The sequence below is a fragment of the Homo sapiens genome, chromosome 4 (genome assembly GCF_000001405.40).
Source record: "Homo sapiens chromosome 4, GRCh38.p14 Primary Assembly".
In the NCBI taxonomy this organism is placed as follows: Eukaryota; Metazoa; Chordata; class Mammalia; order Primates; family Hominidae; genus Homo; species Homo sapiens.
This window is the reverse complement of record NC_000004.12, coordinates 139,756,685-139,781,946: the sequence shown is the minus strand read 5'-3', so window position 1 is coordinate 139,781,946 and position 25,262 is coordinate 139,756,685. Positions and strand designations below refer to the sequence as shown.

Genomic DNA, 25,262 nt, shown 5'->3' with positions numbered 1-25,262 from the left:
GTTGGACCAAACTGACACTCATATTATTATTCTATCAAAGAACACAGATGGGTGGTTGCACATGGGGATTTTCTCATCTTTAGCATTTTATGCTGTTCATTTTAGTAAACCACCTTGACCTTAGGGTGCCAGATATTTTCTCAAGTTTTTAAGGAGTAACAGCATCACCATGAATAGATGGCTGGTGTTGAAACCAGTGTCATGCCCCAGCCATGGAACAAGCTTGGCTTGAGCTCAGTGCCCTAAAAGTAAAACCACACTTCACTGCCCTGTGTGAAGCCCGAGTGTTTTACCACATTCTCCCCTCTTTGCCCACCTGTGAAATTAGAACAATATTAATAGTTAATCCTGCCTAATGCAGGAGAACAAATGAAGCTAGTAGAGAAAATAGCCGTAATGGGTGTGCTGTACAGACTATATATATATATATATATATATGAAAATGCTCTGCGATCATTAGAAGAGAGCTCCTACCACAACAATCTAGTAATAGAACTGGGATTTTGAGATTTACCAAACTTTTAAATATCATGAAGTTTGCCAAATTTAAACAGCATACCTCGACCTTTTAAACTATAGAACTCTCTGGCTTTATATCTATTTGTAGATATAAAAGGCTTTCCCTTTCATTGTTCAGGCCCCAAAAGTGAGGCAACTGAATTGTGCAGCATAAATTATGATCCAAATAGGAAAACGTGGGTGGGTTATATTGCTTCATGTTGTAGAGTGTTTCTGGGTTTTCCTCTGCAACTCTATTTTTCAGTGATGATGTACAACACCTTTGACGGTGGTAAATAAATTAAAAATTTAAGAATTTATAATACACAATTCAAGCAACATCCAGAGAGTAATGCATTTTGGGTAAGGAGCTAGTGAAACCAGTTATAGTAGTTGGGCATAGGGATGTGAGTGCTGAGCATTCTAACAAAGATAAAATGATGATTTTGATGGTTTCCTATGAGCAAAGGGGAATTATCAGAGCCTGTGTAATTCTTTGCCGTCAGAACTATGCAACACTTGTCAGGTGCAGTGGCTCACACCTGTAATCCCAGCACTTTGGGCAGCCAAGGCGAGCAGATCACGTGAGGCCAGGAGTTTGAGACCAGCCTGGCCAACATTGTAAAACCCGTCTCTGCTAAAAATACAAAATTAGCTGGCTATGGTGGCGCGCACTTGTAATCCCAGCTGCTCAGGAGGCTGAGACATGATAATCACTTGAACCCAGGAGGCAGAGGTTGCAGTGAGCCGAGATGGTGCCACTGCACTCTAGCCTGGGTGACAGAGCAAGAGCGAGACTCTGTCTCCAAAAAAAAAAAAAAAAAAGAAAAGAAAGAAAGAAATGGGCGACCCATGCACAGCCACATGTAGACAATAAAAAGCAGTTTTTTCAAGGATTACTCAGGAGAAACAATGAAAAGGGGGAAAATACAAGGTAAAGCATTCCACCTGTCTTCTGGAGTTTGGCAGAATAAGCACATGCACATTTGAGGTTGGTTAAGAGTCTCTCCTTGGCTTGAGGTTGTTTGAACTGTGTCCTGAGTGACAGTATTTGTGGTGTCTGCTTTCTAGGTAGATGCATGGCACCCAGAGAATTCTCAAATTCAGTACACCCAATTCTCTTCTTTACCGCAAAGGTAAAGACCTCAGAATCTGTGAACAAAGAAGGAAGGGCCTCCTGGCACCAATTGAGTTTTCTGGGTCAGAGCCGTCCAATGGAACTTTCTGGAATGGGAGAGATGTTCTGTACCTGCACAGCCCAATATAGTAGCCACTAGCCAAGTGTGGCTATGAACACTTGAAAAGTGGCTGACACGCCTGCAGAAATGAATTTTTAATTTTATTAAATTTAAATGTAAATAGTGGGTACCGCCTCGGACAGCATGGCTCTAGGTTACATGGTCTTCATAAGGAACTGGAAGTCAGGAATGGCAGCGCATCTGCTGGCCTAGGGGCGAGGGAACAGAGCAGAGTCTGCAAGCTGACAGAGAACAGCACTTACAGTAGCAGCATATGGCTTGCGCCCTACAACATAACGAAGACTGATCTGTGACAGATTCGGGGAAACATCTTTCCCTGTCGGCCTCCCCTCCTCCACTCATTCTGATTGCAGGGTGGAGAAAGGGCCTCCATAGTCAAGCCTGGTTATTGTCAAGCTCAATTTGCCATGACTTTTATTTTCCAAAAAGCAATCTGGCCAGCTGTGGCTGAAAATGAAATCACCAAAGTGACAGCCCCTCACCCCTCCGCTGATTATTGATTTATAAAGAATCCAGTCCGTGTTCCGGTCTGTCCTCCTATCCTATGGTCATGTGTATTGCTGGCAGATCCCAGGATACAGATGCAGTCTAAGAAATACTTTTTAATATGGGCAGTAAATAGTAACTTGTATTTCTAAATGTGAGGAGATTTTTACTGACCATTCTCAAACATTTTAGAAACAATCTTAAATGTAAAAAATCAGGGCTATAAACCTGAAAGACATAATTAAAATTGTGACCACTAGGACTTTTGGGGTGATGGGGCTCACAAATTATTTTTAAATTAAGTTTCTAAATTTATTTCCATTATCTTCCACTCCACCAGCCACCTGATGATAACACTTTGGGATTTTGAACTGAAGAGCAGCAAAGCCAACTAAAAACCTACCAGAGTTATGCCTTCTGTGAGGTGTGTGAATCAATCATTAGCATTTATAGAGCCCCCCCAAAGACTATTCCTCAGCTCTTTAGGGAAATTAGGGCAAAAATAAAATAGATTACATCAACCTTGCTCAAAAGGCCTTGGCTAACTGGCTGGGGCAATGGTCAGCCATTGTATGTGTGCACGGCCTACAGAAACCTTGCAGTCATATATTCCAAGAGTCCTTCCAACCCTCTTTTGTCCAATTCTGAATCAAAGTAGGCTGTGTAAAGGCAGATTTAGAATAGCTCACAGCATTTTCTTTTTCTTTTTTTTTTTTTTTTTGAGGTGGAGTCTCGCTCTGTCACCCAGGCTGGAATGCAGTGGCGCCATCTCGGCTCACTGCAACCTCCACCTCCTGGGTTCAAGCGATTCTCCTGCCTCAGCCTCCCAAGTAGCTGGGACTACAGGTGCCTGCCACCACACCCAGCTAATTTTTGTATTTTTAGTAGAGACGGGGTTTCACCATGTTGGCCAGGATGGTCTCCGTCTCTTGACCTCGTGATCCACCCACCTCGGCCTCCCAAAATGCTGGGATTACAGGCATGAGCCACTGTGCCTGGCCAGCTCATAGCATTTTCTGTGGGAACGTGGAACCACAAGGGCCTTATAAATGTTATGGAGGTAGTGCTAGAGATTCGCCCTCAGGAAGAGTAAGGGAGGTACCCAGTCTCTAACGATTCTTTATGAAGAAGAAGGAAAATAGTAACTTCAATTCATCCTGACAGGTGATCCAACTCAATGGTTTTCAAGTGAGATAGCAGATCTTAAATCCCCATCTTTTTCTCCTTCCACTGTGGCTGCCCTCTGAGACTTAAGGTCAGCCCTCTGTGCTTTTTCTCTTGCTCAGAGAAACTCCCCTAAAATTCTCTGACCCTGATAAGGATGATGCCCCACTGGGTTTTACTCTTCTCTGGGACCTCAATGGAGGAGGCAAGGCCCTCACTTCACTTCAAAAGTGCACAGCCCTGTGAATCTCTAAGTCCAAAATATCATCTAGTCCATGGTGGTATAAACCATGCACAACACTTTCTTTTTCTCATCTCCAGCTCTCTTGGGATAGCAAGTAACAACCTACTTTTATCACGGTATTCTTTTATTCATCATTTTATTTTTTCATTCAACCAATATTCATTGCATCACCCCAGCGTGTCAGTTGCCTGTCCAAGGCTTGAGAATACCGTCATGAACAAGGTGGATAAAGTTCTCACTCTCAGAGTGTGCACTTTCTAGTAGCCAGAGAAGGCCCATGGAGGTGACACTTGAGCTGAGACAGAATGACAAAAGGAGCCAGCCAAGGGAAGAGCTAGGTCAAGAGTGTTCCAGCCAAGGGAGCAGCTGGCACAAAGAGAGCAAAGCTGGCTTTTCAGGAACAGCAAGAAGGTCAATGTGGCTCAAGAGAGCAGCAGGGAGAGAAGGGTGGGTAAGATAAGGGTTCAGCAGAGGGCAGGAGCCAGCTGATGCACAGCCTGGAAGACCATGGTCAAAAGTGCGAGTTTTAAGCATTATGGGAAGTCTTTGAATAGTGTTAAGCAGGCAAGTAACATCGTCTGATTTATGCTCTAAAAAGCACCCGGGCTGGGCACCATGGTGCATGCCTGGAGTCCCAGTTACTTGGGTGGCTGAGGCAAGAGGATTGCTTGAACCCAGGGAGTCAGGGCTTCTGTGAGCCATGATGATGCTGCTGCACTCCAGCCTGGGCGACAGAGAGAAACCATGTCTCAGATAAATAAATATAAATGTTTTAAAGCAGGTGTCTGGAGAATGGATTGAAGGAGAATATAAGGTTCCTCCTGGCTGGGTCCAAGCAAGTGATGATGATGGCTTGGACTGGGGAAGTGGCAGTGGAGACTGAAGACTGATCAAATTCAGATCTTCTTGTGGCAAGGTCTGCTGAAGGACTGGATTTGGAGCAGGTAGAGGAGGGAAGGAAATGTGAATGATTTCTTGAAATGTTTACTTGGCCAACACAGTAGATGTTGGTATTGTTTTCAGGAGTGGGGAGCAAAGAACCGGAAATTCTATTTTGGACATATTAAGTCTAAGATCCATGTTAGTCAGCCTATATTTTGGGTTACCCTGCCTTTCCATAAGTTCTTCCTTCTGTCTGAAGAACCGTCAGCTTTTCCAGGGCCCTGTACCACATCAGCATTTCATTTAAACCTGTTGCTTTTTGTCAGTTCTTCCTCCCCCAAACCCTGCAGAGGAGTGGATGAGTGTCCCTCCAAAACCCTTCCTATATTTGAATACAGTCACTGTCACCCCTTAACCTTTTTTCCTCCAGGATAAACAATGCAATTCCTTTCATCTTGCTTTGGAGAACCTTTCTTCCATCCCTTTAATTATGGCTATTGCTGCCCTCTGTGCCCCTATAAGTTTTTTACATGCCATTTTGTAGATGCTGGAGCCAAAGTAGGACACAGAAGTCAAATAACAGTGTCACGCCAGTAAAACAAAGAGTGCTTCCTGGCCTTTACATGTCACTCTTTTTCTAAGCCATCCCAGGAAGCCATATCTGGCTGATCCTTGGCCCTGTGACCTCTGCCCCTGGCTTCTGTCTATGCCCAGGCTTTGCCATCCAGTTTTGGTGCCTTTTGTTTTGGGGTTTAAATGCACCATTTTGCGCGTATCTGCTTTGAGTGTGTTTCCATCCTGTTTTTGTGGGGATCATCCAAACACTGTTCAGGGAAAGCCTCAGTCTACCTAAGAGCCTCTGATAAAATGGCCAGTGGCTGCAGCTCTGCACTTTTCCCTAAAGCTGCCGGGAGCTTTGTTATTTTTCACTTATCTATCAGTGTGGTCTTCGGAGTGCTTTCTAATCACTTATCACCTAATCTGCAGAGTCACTTCCTTAACCCTCCCAAGAAGGGTTCCAGAGAAAGCAGAAAGGGAATGTAGGAGGTTTCCAGGGCACTGTATCACGACAGGAGCCATTTCAGACATAATCAGATCTCAAATTTCTCTCTAATTTAGACATATCAGCATGTTACGGCTCTTCCTAGACCATCACAACACCTCTGCAACAAAATACAACAAAAATAAATATCCCAAAATAAAATTAGAGCAAAATACCATAAATTAACAGCAATTGACATCAAAGAACTGTTGATTTACAAAATAATCATTTTTTCAGCCTACATGCATTGGAAGATTGTCTGTGCAGATGCATTTATCATTTGCCTTGGGTTAATACATTCTGATTTGGCATGCTATTTGGTGGGAAATATTTATGTAAGATTTTTATTTCCCATAAATAAGTTAAATGGCAGCCGTAGAAGCAGAGCTTATCTTATTATTATTTGGCTTTGCCCTATTTCCCTGAGTTGGGGGAAGGTGCAGAGTAGCCTAACAGTTGCAAGTTGTACCTTAGAAATATTTCCTAAGCAGTCGGAACCATAAAATGCTTTAAACTAAGCTGAAGGTAAAAGGCTTTTGAGGGAACCCTGAGTGTAGCAGAAAGAAAAATAGGATGGCAAAGGATGTCCACCGTGCTTTTCACCCTGTCAGCAGATGATAGCAACAGTTTGACGTGATATACCGGAAAGATAGAAACAACAACAATGAAACAAGGATGCCTTGGAAAATAAAATGCAAACCTGAAATCAAACGGAATCATTCTGCCCCCCGAACCACTCCTCTCTGCTGCAAACTGCCCCCTATTTTCCTTTCCGGGCCCACAGCTCATGGTTTAACCTGGGAGATTGTAAACTCCAGTTTCGTTCCTCATCCTTAATTTAGCTAGACAGAGCTTTGAAATGGCAACTAAATTACCTTTTGGTGAAATCAAATCTTCCCTACTAGCCTCAAGCAGAGAGGAATCTAGACCGCAAGGGCCAGCTAATGTGTCCCAGCAGCTCCCAGTCACTCTCCTGGAACCCACAGAGGGTGCGCTCTATTGAAGGGTTACTCTCATCCTTTGTACCCCACAGTTTATCCTGTAGGGGGTTATTTTGCACAGCCTTTTCTCTTCTGACTGCCTGCCTAGCAGGAGGTTGCTTAGGGCAGTAAAATGTTTATTACCTGTTTATTGTGTGAGTAACTGCAGTCAAGGAGGAGAAAATATTTCCCAGTTTACCTAGGGCAATGAAAATAGGATTAAGAGTTCTGAGGGCTAAGGAAGGAGCAGTATAAAACCCAGAGAATCATATACCATGCAGCCATGAGAAGCCCAAGTACCCTTGCATTATCCTTTCATTCTAGTCATGGTGACTTTTCCTCTTATTCTCAGACCCGTGTAATTCACCATTATGGATCTGGGGATTGCTGGTGTTCTAAAAGGAAGTCTTTCCCCGGAGAGAGTTTGGCCCCATCCCAGGTGTAGCTATCAAATTGCACCAAAAGAGAGATCATCGGCCTGATTAGCGTTTACATACACATTTATTTCTCTTTCCTCCAAAGTAAGTTACAAACAGCTTAACTTCCACCAACTTTGCAGTGTGGAGATTCAATAAGATATCATATAGCAGTTCAAGCCATTCTGCAACTGCCATTTGTAGTAAATTCTTTTATCATGGTTTAGAATAATTCACGTCTAAGATTTAAAAATTACTATCATAAATCTTCTATTAGTTCTTAAACATGATTTTCCTTCTGCCATCCTCCCCTCCGTCAATTTTTTTCTCTTCTTAAAGACTCTTCCTGTCTTGATCATTAATGGAGCGACAGAGTTTAAGTCCTTTTCAGACTTCACACAATTATACTTAGCCATCTCTGAAGCTGAAATACTAGGGCTTCCTAAAATGCTACTACTCTTAGAAGTGGGCTATAGGATTCAGCTGTAATTACTTCTGGAGTCTGTTATCTCTTCATTCATTCATTGGTTCATTTGTTCCTTTATCCTTTTGGCAGATATGGATTGAACTCCTACTACGTGCCAGCCACAGTGCTGGCCACTTCAGATAAAGCAGTAAACAAAATAGACATAAGTCATCCCTGCCCTCATGTTGCTTACAGACTTGGAGGAGACAGTAACAGAGTATCGCCCAGTTAAATAAACAATTACCAAGTGTAGTAGTTGTCAAGGAGGATTTGTTCAGATGAGACAGTCAAGGTCAGGAACATTTTGACCATTATTTCTGCTCCTGCAGTGAGAGGAACAGCCAAAGCCCAGCTCTGGAGCTCAGCATTCTGACTTGGAGCTGAGCCAAGTCCTGGTGCTCTGCTGCTCTTTTCTGTGGCTCAGGCACATCTCTTGTCCTTGTTTGTAAAGATGAAGCTCACACGGCCTGCTGCAAAGGATGGCCTGCTATGGCTTGCTTGAACTCCTGACCATGTGCTTTAGATCCCAAACTTGAAAACTGTTTCAGAAGTAAAGCACCCAGTTAGAAACAACCCATACATATGGTTTCACAGTGGTCCGGTTGTTTGCAATTTTTCATCAAATTGAACATTTCTCAGTCATCTTCTTCAAGTGCCTGTCTCAAATCTGAGTTCCAAAGCCATCGAGGTGTTTAAGTACAGTCCACACAACATGAATTGAAGAGTGGGCGGTTTGGCAATCTTTATGTCAATATGATACATGGAAAGGTTGCCAGATAATTCAGACTCCACAGATTCACTCTCCTGTTTATCTGAATTGTTAGTTTAATTGATTGAGGAACTTCAGAATCTCCTTTTTTATTTTGTTTTGCACAGGCTCATCTTCTGTACCCATTTACGCTGAGCCTTTTGGTAATGTGCTCACTGCTACCCCATCCTTAGCACTACCTAGGGTTGGAATTATTTTTCTGTAGTAGCAAAGATCCATGGACACGCACACTTTTGACTAGTGAAGAGGAAACTCTAGGGAAATGGAAAACAGGTGCCAATAACCAGCACAGTCAAGCATTTATCCTCTTGAAAATTGTATTTCCCTGGGCATTTAGTGATACCCTTTTGCAGTTGAAGAACCTGAAGCATTGCGAGAGATTTAAGTCTCTGATCTGATGAACACCACTCCGAAGAGTGACAAGGCTTAGCAGTCATCACAGTGCCATTAGATAACAGGATGCTTGGGACTGGGTAGGGCAATGTGAAGATGATGAACTCTTCTGCCTTTTTTCTGTTTGTCTTCATGAGCGTATGGTGAGCCAATACGTTTCAGAGCTGGAATTAAGGCTAAGAATCCTGAAGCCTGTTGATAGTTCTATCCTCAGCTTCTGGACTTCAGTTTTACAGATTGGCTTTCATGCTTCTTTTTAAAACTACCAAAAAAATCTGGGCATATGCTTAGACTTTTTAAAATGTAATACTTGATATATTAAAGCTGATTTTCTTATAATATTATCCTATGATCATAGAGCTAGAGGAAATGTGATACATTATTTTAGGGTTAGGGCCCTCTACTGATACTTTATTCTTTTTTTTTTTTTTAAGTAGAGATGGGGTTTCACCATCTTGGCCAGGCTGGTCTCGAACTCCTGACTTCGTGATCTGCCCTCCTCGGCCTCCCAAAGTGCTGGGATTACAGGCGTGAGCAATACTTTATTCTTTCCTATGGTATTCCTAAGAAGTGGCTTTCCAGCCTCTGCTTGAAGACCTCCAGTGACAGAACATTGACTGACTCATTTTACGTCTGGGAAGTTCATCCTCTTGATGCTTGCTATAATACAAGTTAATGGAGGGCCAATAATGTTAAGATAACTTTGGCCAGGCGCAGTGGCTCACACCTGTAATCCCTGCACTTGGGGAGGCCGAGGCAGGTGGATTACCTGAGGTCAGGAGTTCGAGACCAGCCTGGCCAACATGGGGAAACTGTGTCTCTACTGAAAATACGAAAAATTAGCCAAGTGTGGTGGCGGGCACCTGTAATCCCAGCTACTTGGGAGGCTGAGGCAGGAGAATTACTTGAACCCAGGAGGCGGAGGTTGCAGTGAGCCGAGATCGCGCCACTGCACTCCAGCCTAAGCAACAAGAGCAAAATTCTGTCTCAAAAAAACTAACAAACAAAAAGACAACTTTAAAAATATCTGTGAACTAGGAAAGCAAGAGCTACACCTGAAGAAGTGTAGGTCCTTTTACCTTTTTTTTTTTTTTTTTTTTTTTTTTTGAGAACGGAGTCTCGCTCTGTCACCCAGGCTGGAGTGCAGTGGCGCGATCTCGGCTCACTGCAAACTGCGCCTCCCGGGTTCACGCCATTCTCCTGCCTCAGCTTCCCCAGTAGCTGGAACTACAGGCACCTGCCACCGCGCCCAGCTAATTTTTTGTATTTTTAGTAGAGACGGGGGTTTCACCGTGTTAGCCAGGATGGTCTGGATCTGCTGACCTCGTGATCCGCCCACCTCGGCCTCCCAAAGTGCTGGGATTACAGGCGTGAGCCACCGCGCCCGGACTTTTTTTTTTTTTTACTTTAAGTAGAGGTGACCTGGTGTGGGATGTTTCTTTCAAGACATAGCAATGATTCCCAAACTTCAGTGTATCACCTGGTGAGCTTGTTCCAATTGAAGATACTCGGGCCCCATCCCAGAGATCCAAATCTGGGATGGGCCCCCGAAAGCTACATCTTCAAAGCACCTGTAGCTGATTCTGGTACAGGTGGTCCCTCTGGATTACCTAATTAAGAAACTCTGTCCTAGGCTGGGGAATTTGCAGTTAAATACGCTAAGGGTTTCCTGAGAAATCTTTTACAATCTTCCGTTTTCTCAACCAGAAAATTATTTCCGCCAGCTAAACTCTAGAGGAGCAGTGTATAAACTAGTGAACTCTGCCCTTTATTTTACATCCTGTAGTCCCAGATACTTACATAAAAAATAATGATTGAAGTTTGAATGAATTTCTTCCCAGCATTTGCTAATGAGAGAAAAGTATAGGAGCTTTTGTGTGCATGGCCACAGAATCTTATCCCGCTTCCAGGGAAGGAAAGAACTTCTTCACTACCTGATGTTTTATTTATGCATTGAGTCATTTAAGGTGGCTGGTCACTGGAATAGTTAGGAATGACACTGCAAAAAGGGTCCTTAGATATACAGGATGATCAGCCCATAACATGAGGCTCAGTCTTAGGAAAGTTCTAAGACATGGCTTTGGTTCTTGGACCCAGAACAGTGTACAGTCTATACAATGGCTGCCCAAAACCCTCTCCAAAATACAACCTCTTTAAAGGAAAAGGGCTTCTCGTTTGATGTGCAGCGTAATACATCACTGCCATTTTATAAACTGTAGCTGTAACTTTGGGTAAAGACTTCATGAATGGATAAAACGTAAGATTCCGAGTACTGTAGAGAGCTCTCCAGAAGGAGGGTGTGGTGTGGATCCTTCATGGAGGGTCTTTGAGGTTCCTTGCCACACTTGGTCCTCCTAGAGAATTTTCTAAAGCACACAGCCACATCCAGTTGTTAATCCTTTCACAACCTCTGGGCAGCGTTCCCAACCTGGTATTCTCTGTCTTCAATATCCCCCTCCTCTCCCTAGTCCTATCCACTCATCCTTTCTGCTGGATACATTTTGCTTTACAAATATACAGGCCATCCTATCCTTTCAAGAGAAACTTTCTCTGATGTCATTTACTTTACTGTGTAACATTTTATTGGGGGCCAGAATATCTGGAGGGTCTTTGGAGTTCACCTTTGGGCTGAGGGCTACTGAGCTAATTCTAAAAAGAGATCAGCAGTTGGCTGGCTTCATTCCAGGGAAGATCCCAAAAAAGCAGGGTCAGACTTTTATTTTTAGGAACAAAGAGCAACTTTCCAACTGAGCGCCTGCCTCGCCCTCTGACATCAGTATCCTATTCTGTCCTGCTTCAGCTCAGCCACCACCAATCTCCTCCTCCCTATCCACCAACTCCCTTAGGATCCTGGGAGGAGCTTGTTGCCAGGGACACAAACAGAATAGTCTTTTTAAAAGAAAAAGTATAAGTGAAGAACTAAAGTAGAGACTTCCGTTTTCCTTCCCCTACCTTTGCCCTGTCCATGGGAACAACGGTTGAACTCTTAAAGCTTCCATCCATTTAAGCCAGAAGTGTCCAAATATTTTTTGCCGATACTATATACTTAATTCATAGGCAAAGGTAATGAAAATTTCTAAGATGTCTCTGAATCCTCCTCACAGACAAGGAGCCTTGGCTGGGCACAGTGGCTCATGCCTGTAATGCCCGTACTTTGGGAGGCCAAGGCGGGAGGATCGCTGGAGCCCAGAAGATTGAGACCAACCTGGGCAACATAGTGAGGCCCTGTCTCTACAAAAATAAAATTAAAAAATAAAAAACTAGCTGAGACATGGTAGTATACACCTGTGGTCCCAGCTACTCAGGAGGCTGAAGTAGGAGGATCGCCTGAACCCAGGAGTTTGAGGCTGCAGTGAACCTTGATTGTGCCACTGCACTCCGGACTGGGCAACAGAGGGAGACTGTGTCTTTAAAAAAAAAAAAAAAAAAAAGAGGCTGGGCGCGATGGCTCACGCCTGTAATCCAAGCCCTTTGGGAGGCCAAGGCGGGTGGATCACCTGAGGTCAGGAGTTCAAGACCAGCCTGACCAACATGGAGAAACCCCATCTTTACTAAAAACACAAAATTAGCCAGATGTGGTGGCACATGCCTGTAATTGCAGCTACTCAGAAGGCTGAGGCAGGAGAATGGCTTGAACCCAAGAGGCGGAGGTTGTGGTGAGCCAAGATCACACCACTGCACTCCAGCCTGGGCAACTAAAGTGAAACTCCGTCAAAAAAAAAAAAGAAAAAGAACTTTGACATGGAAGGTCTTTAGACTCACCATATTTTATTGCCGGTTCATAAGTGTCATATTTACATGTAGATTTTCCTGGTGACTGTACTATTGAGCCTTGCAGTCTCCTGTAAGATATACCACTCAAAATAGTTTCCCTAGGAAAGGCTCATCATGGTCAACTAGAGCATGTCACTGCTGTGCAGATGGTCTTCTCTTGTGGATTATAGAACAAAATGGACAAGAGAGCACCCTAATCAAAGCAGCGTGTCTTGTGTTCCATGCACCTGAGATGTGTTCTCAGGAGAGTGTGTTTTGACTCTTCTTCTACTACCTCTGGATTCGGGGACCCCAGAGCCTCTCTGGGCATGAGGGATGCATCTCTCCTCCTGTAGGAGAAGAACACCCACTCTGTATCCCTGCCTGCCTGTTCCCAGCTCCAGGCTGAGTCACTGAAGCCCAAGTCTTCTTTCCCATCCTGAAGGGTTCTGCAAGCTAATGGTAGGACTTCTGCTTCTGCTGAGACTCAGAGTTCCTTTAGTAAACACCAGGAGGCGACCTTTGGAAAAGGACTGGGACTGTTCTTCCTAAACACCTTGTTGTTACCAAAGCAGTCACAGTCAGGACTGGGGCTCAGTCAGCCCCTGGTGCTGCCATTTCCCCATTCCCGTAGAGTCATGTACACCTTCTGTCAATGTTGACCGAAGCCAGGTGAATTTAAACAGTCACATCCTATGTTATCACCTGAAAGAAAAGGGGGGAAAATATATAATTAACCTGAGGGGAAGCAGGATGTTGAAGAGTGAATGCCCAGCATTCCTGTTGGTCCAAGAGAGCCACGATAGCTTTCAGGCCTTGATTTCTGTCTACCCAGACCCCATACATCAGCCAGCACCATGGGGTGCTGCAGCAGGACTGGTCTCTGCCCTGGCCCACCAAGGCTACCTTCTCAACATCAGCGTAGTACTAAGAGTAGCAGCAGGAATCCACATTGGTTTTGCTTTATTTCCTGAACATTAGTAGAACAGTTTAAACATCTGGTGTTACATTGCTATTGATTCATAAGGAGGTATTTACAACTGTAAGCCAAAATATAATACATCTTTATGCTTGAGCCCATACTGTAATATGGCCAAATTAATCTGAGCAATAGTAAATACTAAGACTTGGGAATTATAAAGCAACTTGTTTCTGAGAATCAAGATACTTATCAGATGTTATTTTTTACAAGAACCTGATATTTAAGCAAATAACTTAAACTTGTGGCATAAGACTATCAAAAATATATTTGAGAAAGTTCTAAGTCCTTAAAAGCAAGTGCAACAAAAACAAAAATTATCAATTAGGACCTAATTAAAGAACAGCAACACACACACACACACACACACACACACACACACACACACACACAACTATCAACAGAGTAAAGAGACAACCTACTGAATGGAAGAAAATATTTACAAACTTATGCATCCATGAAAGGACTAATATCCAAAATCTATAAGGAACTTAAATCATCAAGACAAAACTCATTAAAAAGTGGGCAAAGGACATGAACAGGCACATTTCAAAAGAAGACATATGAGTGGCCAACAAAGATATTCCACCAAAATAGGAGACATCATCTGGTGAAAAATTACAAAGAAAATAAAATAAACTTGTTCAGAATTTTGACATAACCTCATCTAGAATATAATATGCCATTCTGGCCATCACATCTCAAGAAATAACTAACCAGAACTAAAAAAGGTTCAAGGAGGAACCAAGTGGTCAAAGGTGGTGGTTCTTAACCTTTTTGGAGTCATAGACTCCTTTGAGATTCTCTCTAACCCTTTACTCCAGAGAAATGCATGTGTGCACACACACAGTTTTGCATGCACTTTCATGCTAATCTATGGCTAACTTGGGGTCCTCAGACCAAAGTTAATAACCTTTCATTTAAGAAATACTATGTGAGAATAAATTTAAAAGTTTGGATTCTTCTGTCTGAATACATAAAGACTGAAAGGAGCTATAATGGGACTCCAAAATCACCAGGTATGTGATTAATGTAATATATCACACACATGTTCACCAAATCCTGGTATAGTAAGACAAAGTCGGAAGGACCATTATGGAGTTTGAAAGAGGCAAATTCAAGAAGAAGAAAAAAGGAAGCATCACTCATTTACATGGCTGGTTTCATAAGCGTAAGGAATTTCATTAATGTAAGATGTGGTAAGACCAGAACTATAAATAGCTTTTAAGACAGCTTAAACCAATTTCATGGATGATAGATCTGTGACGAGATGTTAGCAAAAACTCAGTGGTTTGGTATGTGGCCCTCACAATTTGAGGTTGACATCAACATAGACAACTGTGCTTTCCTAACGAACACATCCGTCAGCATGTCCCTTGGTGCCACCAAAAGAGATTCCGTGCCAAGCTGAATAGCTGAGTGGTAGGCCTGACCCAATGTGGACTTTTTTGGTTAGAATTAATTACCTGTACCCGCTGGAAAGTTGTTGTGGTGCTCATGTTTTATTTTGTCTGTTTCCTTGGGAGGCAAAGGAATATAAGTTGGGTTACAGAGTAATCACATTGACATAATAATAAAGTGGACAATAATAGTCACGTGTATACTTGTTATGTGTAGATAAGGTATTTTTGTGAGGTGGGAAGGAACACATACTGTTACCCCCAGTTTTTCATGTGTGGGTACCAAAATACAGAGGGCAACTAGCTCAGCCTCGCACTTAACGTCTCATGACATTCACTGGCCCCCATGGCCGTGCCTGCAGAGCTGGTCTGCAGGGAGATGGCGCAGTGGCAAACCTTGGTCTTTTCTCAGTTTTGCTCTTCATGTGCCGAGTGCCCAGATGCCAGAACCTTTACCTTCCCTTGACTTAATTTACCTCTTTATCAAATAGAGGGGATAATTTCTAAATCATGGTAGAAGGAAATGGCGGACTTGGAGTTGTCGGGAGAAGAAGGAGAAGATCTGAGCCGTTGTCCATTCTATTGCTGTACTCCAGAGAAAGCAGCTGGGTGTGGCCGGTTACCATAGGTGCCAAGCCCTATTCTGTCATGGTTTCTGGTTGTTTATTGAAGGAACCAGAAATTGTTGGCAGTTCCCCTCATTGACACTACCTTGGCATCTAGAGCTTTAAAAAAATCACTCGTGACTGGGCACGGTGGCTCACGTCTGTAATCCCAGCACTTTGGGAGGCCAAGGTGGGTGGATCACCTGAGGTCTGTAGTTTGAGACCAGCCTGGCCAACATGGTGAAACCCCGTCTCTACTAAAAATATGAAAATTAGCTGGGCATGGTGGTGGGCGCCTGTAATCCCAGCTGCTCAGGAGGCTGAGGCAGGAGAATCGCTTGAACCCAGGAGGCGGAGGCTGCAGTAAGCCGAGATCATGCCACTGCACTCCAGCCTGGGTGACAGAGTGAGACTCCATCCCCCACCCCCACCCCCCAAAAAGAAAGACCATGAAGGGAGTTAACTGAGTAGTGCCTTACGAAACAACCAGTGAGACTCACTTTGTGGGAGGAGAAACAGGGAAAAGGGGGAACTAAGAAGAAATACACAACACCTTGCCCAATGTTCAGCACATAGGTGCTCGATAGACACTTCATTCTTTTTATTTATTTATTTATTTATTTTGAGAGAGGGTCTCACTGTATTGCCCAGGCTGGAATGCAGTGGTATGATCATAGCTCACTGAAGCCATGATCTCCTGGGCTCAAGCAATCCTCCCACTTCAGCCACCTAGTACCTGGGACTACAGGCACGCACCACCACACTTGGCTTATTTATTTTTTTTATTTTTAGTGCAGACAAAATCTTGCTATGTTGCCCAGGATGGTCTCGAACTCCTGGAGCGATCCTCCTGCCTCAGCCTCCCGAAGTGCTGAGATTACCGGCATGAGCCACCACACCTGGCCAATACTTCATTCTTCATTGGTGGAAAAGATTGTAGACTTCTAAGCATTTTCCAAATAAAAAAGCTATGATTTGATTTCCAACTTTTAAACATTGCATGTCCTTTGCCATTTACTACATTCTCCAAAAAAACCTTGAAATGAAGAAGGCCACCCTTAAAATACTTCAGAGGCTGAAAATATGATTATTACATTGGAATCCTTTAGCCTATGTGATATTTCTTTAACTTTGCACTTTCAGGCCCAGTAAAGCCAAAATCAGGGTAACCAATGTCATTTTACAAAATGTTAAAACCCTAATTGCAGTTCCTTTTTTAAATTATTTTAAAGATTACTTAACAACATTAGACAGTGCAAAAAAAGAAGCAAGGAAAGCATTCTTAATTCTACCATCCTAAAACAGCAAGTAATTTCATTTTTAATATTCCCTTCCAGTTTTAGACAATGTGCATACATATTTTTGTCCATGTGCCCCACAGTGACCATCATGGTGAACTTATCATTTTTTACCAGATATAACATGTAAGGCAGATGAGAAGGAGATGAGAACCAAAGAAAATAAATAATAATCCCTTCAGTCAGTGGCAGCCCAAACGGCAGCTGTTAGTGGGGCTGCCTAAGATAAGGTAGGCATCTCTCTCCTCCCAGCTAGGAGTACTGACCAGCCTGGGGGACTGGTCCCAGGGTAGGCACTGGTGATAACTTCATAACCATTCACACTGAGGCTGGGCTCACCTCTGTCTCAGCCCCTGCTTCCCCGTGAACCCAGGCCCAGCCCTGCATTGGGAGCTGCCCAGAGTAGGTGCAGTCACTGAAGCAGGAGTGTGGCCGCGATGCCGGCAGTGAGCCATGCCAAGCTCATTGAAAGCAAGCGGACTTCCTGTGGCCCCTGCTGCTCTCAGTGGGATGTGGACAGTGCTTGTACCTGTGGAAGATGGCACCATCCCACAAAAGAGAACACACTCAATGTCTGTGCACAGCACTCCCTTATCACCGGGAGATGTTGCTGTTCTTTCCCCGCGTTTCCAGTAGAATGCCCAATAACAACAGCAACCACATCCTCCATCAGGTTTCAGGCTTTTGGGAGTCACAAAGTGCTCTCGCATGCATTAGCTCACTAGATCTGCACAGCAACTTCAGGAGGCCACCAGGGTAATCTCTATTAGCCCCACATCAGGCAAAAGGGCAAGTGAGACTTGGAAAGATGAGACAATGTCCTCGGTCACAGAATGAAAGTTCAGTGGCTCTTGGACCTAATGGCCATTCGGGAAAAGGTCGTAGCCTCCTCTGCCCGGCAACATGCAGGGGCACAGACGTCCCCTTGTCCATGCTGTTTAGCAAGCAGCCTTGCCAGGCATGTGCACAGGAGTAAGTAGGGACCTTTCCAGCCGGGCATTGGTGAGCAGGGCGTGGAGTTGCTGATAAGGGAGTCTAGCAAAAGGATGTTTAAAAATAAATGAGTCTTGCCCATGATGGAAAAGGTTTGCTCGTCAGCAGGATTGCTTGTCAGCAGGACTACAGATCCAGGTATGCAGTGTCTTTTTGCTGCTACCATTTCTGTCTCGTGTTATTAAAAAATAATATATTGATTACTGCTACTTCAGTTTGCTCAGCTTAAGAAAGCTATTTATTTTTGAAAAGTGGCAAAATGAGGAAATGACTTTCACTTGGCATAGCTTCTGACACACTTTTTGGAATCTCAGAGCCTACCCTCTACCCCTTCACCCATTTCTTGTGGGTTGAGAAAAGGAGCATACCAGTTCAGTATTATTTTAGCAACAGAAGCACTTCCACTTTGGCTATTTTTAGCATGTCAGGTGCCCTCTGCCTGCCATGAACTTGGTATATTCAAGTGTTTAATTCAGCGGCCTCTCTCATTTGAAAGGGAGACTGTTCCAGCACTCTGCCCACCATAGCTCCACTTTTACAGCTGCTCGTAAATTTCTGAACATGCAGAGATATCTTTAGCTGTGACTCCAGATATTTCCTGTTGAGCTGCAAGATGCAATCCTGCAAGCACACTGAGGCTAAATATACCCTCTCAGTCCAGGATTCAGCCAAATAAACAGGGGCAGCATCAACATGATTTTTTTAATCCAATGCTGAACAGGATTTTTTAGTTAGATTAATTAAGCAATTCTGTTTATTTTGGCAATTGAAGTCATTTCGGCTCCCCCTGAACCTTTAACACCTAAGCATCATTTTCTCTCCTGATTGAAGAACTGACCAGAAGCCCTGGTGCAGGGAACTCACATGTTTGAATACCGTGTGCCTCTTTAGCTCCGTACTTCTCGTTGCTTAAACAGATGGCCCCCTCAGCAGCCGACTCCGAGCAGCTGCCTTGTTCATTCTCACAGAATCCAGACTCCTCTTCAGCTTTGCCTAGGGCCTTAGTCATTCAAGGGAGAATAAACTCTAGGATTCCCTATCAGGAATGTATCCTTTGGGGACTTGACAAAGGAAAAGAATGTTAAAATCTTTCCAGGTGTAATCCTGTGGCAGGAGGAATCTCCTCTGTAGAGTTAAGTTCTTGTCCACAAGGATGCAGATCTTTCAATCAGACCCTAAAAAGTTAGATTGTCATCCCTGGATAAGTCCCTGGGTTCCTGGAGAAAGTTCTATTCCTCCTGAATCTTTAGGACAAGCAGTATCCACCAAATACCACTGGTCAGTTTCCCTTTAACCAAGATCAGCCAGTTGCAGGCCTTCATAGACCAGGAAGACACTGTGCCAAGAGAAGCCAGAGGAAACAATGTCAGGAAGCCTAACTTTGGCACATAGACACGAAATATGCACACGCACCCCCTCTCCAGCCCTCCTCAGGAAAGAAAGGGGGGCTTTCTTTCCTCCATGGGCTGTGCCTGGCCACACCCCACCAGATTAAAGCCCCGTCAGATGGTTGTTAGGGTCAACGAGGTCTACAGAGAACAGTTTATTCTCAACCATTTCTACCTGCCTTTTATCCAGGGTTCACGGGGGTTAAAGTTTTGGCCATGAGTGTAGCGATGGAGCCTCATGTGACACTTGCATACTTTCTCGAGGAGGCCTGCCTGCAAACATAAGTTTTGTATTCCCATTGAGGAAATCAGTTCCTCGATTCTGTCCTTTGAATATCCTTTTTTGGTTTATGATGCTGAATATTTCTGTAACTCTCTGTAGGTTGGGGGCCTCTTTGGGGACCGTTATCATTTGGCAAACACTATTACTCATCAAAATGTATTAATCAGGGCCAGCCACAAAAGCAAAGGTACTATAAGCAGTGGGCTTGAAAAATCAACAAGACAGGAGAAAAAGAAATGCAAATGAATGATAATCACAATCACTGTCCCTTATTCATGCATGCTAGGGCCAAGTGCTCTAAGCATGCTACATATAGCACCTTAGGAAGCCTCACAAAAACCCTGTGAAGCTGCATCCTTTCTGTTCCCATTCTTCCTTTTTAGTCACCTATTGTGTCCCAGGCGCTGGGCTAGACACGGGGGATATAGTGATGAATTAGATGGACAAGGCCCTGCACTCATGGAACAGAGGACATGCATGGTAATGAAACATACAATTGCACAAATATTTTCTAGAGGCCAGGGACTAGTTAGGATTCTGCAGCTCGAACAAGAGTCCTTCATCCATGCAAGTTTCTGCATGTGGCATAGAAGCTCCTAGAAACCCACACTGGGCTCCCTGGGCTCTCGGTCCATCCAACCTCTCTAGCCTGACTTCTTCCTGTCTCATGCCCTATGCTTCACAATCCAGCAATATAGAACTGCTTGTCCACAGGGCTGTTCTTTACCTTCATTACTTTGCTCATGTTGTCCCTCTTCCTCTAACACATTAACCAATTCCCACACAGCTTCCAGGATCTACTCCCGGAGAAAACTCTCCCTGACTCCCCTTGACCCAGCCAGGCTGGGTTAGTTGAGCTTCTTTTGTGATTCCAGAGTCCCCCGTGCTAATCTCTATCACTGCACTTGCCTCACCGTTTCACAGGCATCTGTTGAGGGGCCTGTTTCTCACTAGCCTAGGTGCTCCCTGGGGATATACTTTGTTCATCTTTTTAGCCCCTGTCAAGTAGCACACTTCCTGACCTGTAGAGGGCCATCAGCGAATACTTGCTGGATGAATATGCATCTGTGCATGAGAATGTGCCTTCTGTGCTCTAGTGGAGAAGGTTAGGAACTGGGGGACTCTGTGTCCTATCTAATCATCATTAATGGGATGAAAGGAAGCCTAGTAAGGTCCAGCAGTAGAGGCTGTAGCTGTTGGAGCAGGGAGGAGGAAGAAGGGGAACAACTGTGAAAACCTCTCCAATTCCCCTAACGCCCCCTCCAGACTCTCTTTGATCACTTGCAGTGGTGGGAAATGAAGCAACCTGTTCCATGGTCCATTCTGTCGAAAAGTTTTCCCTTTTGTTAAACAAACTTGGCTGAAGACTTTTAGAAAGCTGTCCTCTAGGGCCGGGTGTAGCGGCTCATGCCTGTAATCCCAGAACTTTGGGAGGCTGAGGCAGGCAGATCACCTGAGGTCAGGAGTTCAAGACCATCCTGGCCAACATGGTGAAACCCCATCTCTACTAAAAAATACAAAAATTTGCCAGGTGTGGTGATGCGTGCCTGTAATCTCAGCTACTCAGGAGGCTGAAGCAGGAGAATCACTTGAACCCGGGAGGTGGAGGTTGCAGTGAGCCGAGATTGCGCCATTGTACTCCAGCCTGGGCAACATGAGTGAAACTCCATCTCAAAAAAAAAGAAAAAGAAAAGAAAAGAAAGCTGTCCTCTAGAACAACAGAGCAATTTGACTCTCTTTTCTATATAACAATTCCTCAAGTATTTCAAGAGAGTTGTCACGACCATCCTGTACTCATTTTTCTTTCTTAAATGATTCTAGTTGTCCAGCTGTTTCTCACTCTCATGTCACACCATTCTGGATACACTCCAGCCTCTTGGTATCTCTTTCAGAACGTGGTGTCCTGAGCTGAACAATATTCCAGATGGCTTCTGATGGGTATAGAATATAGTAGTACAGTTTCTTTCCTGAATCTGCAGCTTAAGTTCAAATTCACGTGTTTTACAGCCTCATCACTTTGTCAGTTCTTACTGTTCCTTTGGGCAATGAAGCGCCTTGGTGTTCTGTATACAATGAACTCTTGTCTGGCCACATTTAATAATTATAAAGTTATTGAGCGTGTCCTGTGCCCATGAGCCAGGCGCTGTGCTAAACATGGTGCCATCAGTCCCTTTTAATTCTCCCACCTACACTGAGGCTGAGTGAGGTTAAGTAATTTTCCCGAAGTGCTGGGATTACAGCCCAGCAGACTGATTCCAAAGCCCACATTCTATCTATCCCACTTCCCTGCCTCCCATCCTGAACTTGTGTAGCTGGTTTCTTGTTCACCTGAATTCTAGATTTACCTCTGTTAAGTTTGACCTGAGTTTCTGCTCAACTTTCAGCATCTTGGAAACTCCACAGGGAGAATTTAGCTCATCTTTTCAGGTTTGTATCATTGTATCTGCTGCCTTCATCTACATCAGTGACAGTGCCTTATCACTCCCCGTTAGAGAACTCTTTCTAGATTGACACCAATCTGGGTACCAGTAGGACCAGACTTTCAGCCAGCTTCCAAGGAACCTACTCTTGACTTCTATGCACTGTTTTCCATTTTGTCCAAAAGTTGTCATGAGAGAGTTTGCCAAATACCGTGTTGTTGAGAAGTATCACATATGTGGCATTCCCCTACTATAATCAGTTAACAGCAGTACAGAATAATGGGAAAGGTGGCCTCTTTGTTTTACATATTTTCAGAAATCCTGTTTAATCTTTTGTCCTAAAACTTTGCAAGAAATCAATATCATGTTCGCCTTTACCCCCTGTGTGAAAGTGGGCTATTGCCTTGCTTCTCTTCATGGTTCATTCCAGTATTCCATTATTTATTCATTCTCGATATTAACAGTGTTTCCATAACCACAGATGCAAAAAAATATTTTTATCTTAAATCATTTTTCTTTTCCCAAAAATATTAAAATAATGCATACTTCTTATAGAAAAATCAAAATAGGTAAAGAAAGCACAAAACAAGGCTGTCTAACAATCCTAGAGACAGCCTCTAACATCTGCAGTTCTTTTAATAACCTAGAAAGCAATTTGCCTAGGTGCTAAAACAATTTATGGCCAGAACCTAGAGTTGGTCTTCCACACCTAGAGCAGGACTACAGCCTAATAGCAGCTAGAAAAATTGTAAGGGAGAGATGCTGGTTCAAGGTGAGGAGTCAGGCCGGGACCTGGGGCAAGGGCAGGGTGGATGTGGAGGGGTAGGAAGCAGGAGTTCCCTGCCACGTGAGCCCCACAGACACCAGCCTGTTCCAGCAGGTTCATTCTGTTTCTGCTGCATACTTCAGTGTGTTGATATTCAAGGCAGTATATTGGAGTCCCCCATCCCTCTGGATGTTATTTCCCTGGGGGAGTAACCAGACTGCTCTTCTGCTGCGGCTCTTCTCTTTCTGTCATAACTGCTGTGCCCTGTACCATCCAGCTGGAGAGTTTTATCTGGACACATTTCTGTCTTCCCCTCAAATGTCAGTTTGAACATCAGGGATCAGAGGAGAAATCACATGGGCGAGAAGGTTCTTTCTGGGTGACTGTGATTTGTTGGACATCTGTCTCCCAAGTACATGATGTTCATTTTAGAACCAGTCTCTCAACCAATCACTGTGATTTTTCACAGATGGATGGATGGACAAACATCTAACAAAATGTCTTGTAGATTCTCATCAAGAGAGGTTCAGGTGCCACGATGCCCAGAGGTCCCTTCCAGCTCAGTGGTTCTCTGAGTGTGTGATTGATATTTTGGAAACAGGGATATCACTTGGTGTATTTGTCAGTGGCTGGTGATCTTCAGGAAACTTTAGTTTGGTCCAGGAAAAGCCTTGAGGAAGATGTGACTAGTATGGGGGAATTTGGAGAAGAGACAAGCTAGTCATCAGATGACATGGATAAGGTGGAAAAGCCAATTCTGAGACAGTTGTTGCTGGAAAATAAACGGGGACATCAGGAGAGGACCAGAAATGTTTGATAACGTACCGAGCATACTCCTGCAGCCGAACATGGCTGGAGGGGAGGCAGGAAACCTGCTGTAACTCTCATGTCAAGAGCTTGGCCCTAAAAGGCCACAATGGGTCATACAAATCGAGGTTTCAGACCCAGATTAAAGTGTGTGTCTGGTATCAAATGAACAGCTGGGCATACATCAGTCTTTCTGGCCACCTCTGCACACACAGATCGATAACAATCAGCTGTAGTAGCCATATCTTAAAATATTAACAAAAAAAAGTTAAAAGATATATTCAGATTCTACCGTGACTCCTTGGTTTTCTTCCTTTACACAGCAACGTATACTCAGGCCACATCTGCTGAGTAGGAAGGCATACCTTCCTTCCCTGGATGGCCAGAACTGTGATTTAGACAGGAGCCTCAGGAAATGCAGACGCCTCTCTCCCAAATCAAATTTTAAAAGTTGTCCTGAGTTGACCTGTGGAGGGTCAGGTAGGAATATAACAAGGTTGCAGGAAGCAGCTAATCACAGACCTATTTTCCATCATTTGTCTATCACTAAGTCATTAGGTCCTAACTGTATGATAGGCACTGCAAGAGGCGAGTGAATACAAAGACAAAGGCTGGCAAGGGACCCTCAGCCAGGGGGAGAGAAACTGATGGGCATGCGGTTGTGACACATGCAATGAGAAGGCTAGTGGAGGAAAGGCAGAAGGTGCTTTGGATATTCAGAGAGGAAGTGACCAGCCACGGTGATGGCAGGGAGGGCTTCCTGGGTGTGATACTAGAGCTCAGAGTTCAAGGATGAGTAGAAGGAGTTAGCCAGGTAAAGAAGGTAGGGGGACTGGAGGCAGAGAAAACAGACAGGGAAGAGCAAGACACATTCAGCCAAATACAAATAGTCTGGTAGGATCAGAGGTAGCATGGGGGCTGGCATGGTGGCCCTCAACAGATGAGGCTGGAGAGGTGGGTCATGAAGTGTGCCCTGATAAGGAATAGGATTCTTTTTTTTTTTTTTTTTTTTTGAAATGGAGCCTCACTCTGTCATCCAGGCTGGAGTGCAGTGGTGCAATCTTGACTCACTGCATCTCCCAGGTTCAAGCAGTTCTCCTGTCTCAGCTTCCCCAGTAGCTGGGACTACAGGCTCACGCCACCTCGCCCAGCTAATTTTTGTATTTTTAGTAGAGATGGGGTTTCACCACATTGGTCAGGCTGGTCTCGAACTCCTGACCTCAGGTGATCCACGTGCCTCAGCATCCCAAAGTGCTGGGATTACAGGGGTGAGCCACCACACCTGGCCAGGAATAGGATTCTTACCCTGCTGGAGTGTGAGTGTGAGGGGGAGTACTGGCAGGCTCAGGACCTGGTGGCTAGAGGGTGTATTGGAGAGAAACCAGAGTGAAAAATGGACAACCAGCCAGGAGAGTAGCAGAGAGCTCCAAGGGAAAGTTGACAGCCTGGACCAATGAAATGCCAAGTAGGGTGCTGTGGAGGAGGTAAAACGCCCTGATTCTCTCATAGCTTGGATATGAAGAGAGGCGGGCAGAAGATGAAGAGTCTAGGATGATCCCCCTGGCTCAGACATCAGGCTAGCAAGATGGCAACAGCATATTCAGAGGCCAGGAACACAGAGGCATGAGTCTGAGACCAGAGCGCAGTGGGCAAGGTCACTGATTTCCTTCTGGTTCTACGGTGAATTATCTGTTGGCTGTGATAATGCGCTTCCAAGCTGCTGTACTGGCGGGAGACTTAGTCATGCATTCATATGAGGTCCTGCAATGTTAAGAGAACCTCCATAAAAATGTTAGGGAGAAGGGCAGGGGTTTTGGCTTTGCAAAACCTGGGTGTTTCCCCAGATAATTATTCTTACTTTAGTTCTCGAAAATATTGTGTGCTGCCATTCAAAAGTAGCAACCTTTTCACGGGTGCCAAACTGTCAGACATTAACTCAATTCAGAGCAAAAAGTTGCAGAGAATGTAGGG

The 25,262-nt window shown here is 44.3% G+C and overlaps 1 protein-coding gene and 1 long non-coding RNA gene across 4 annotated transcripts in view; one reads left to right on the top strand and one right to left on the bottom strand.

Moving 5' to 3' along the window:
- The window catches only part of MAML3 (mastermind like transcriptional coactivator 3), a 437,432-nt gene that overhangs the window by 372,238 nt on the left and 39,932 nt on the right, over nt 1-25,262 (top strand). The gene's annotated exons all lie outside the window — the stretch shown is intronic.
- Nucleotides 12,351-18,891, bottom strand: LOC124900781 (uncharacterized). 2 transcript variants are annotated; one of them, XR_007058275.1, is made up of 2 exons: nt 16,974-18,891; nt 12,351-13,057 (listed from the first exon to the last, which is right to left on the bottom strand). It is a non-coding gene; the product is annotated as an uncharacterized LOC124900781 (long non-coding RNA). The 2 variants fall into 2 exon arrangements; XR_007058276.1 differs by having other exon boundaries at nt 17,164-18,891.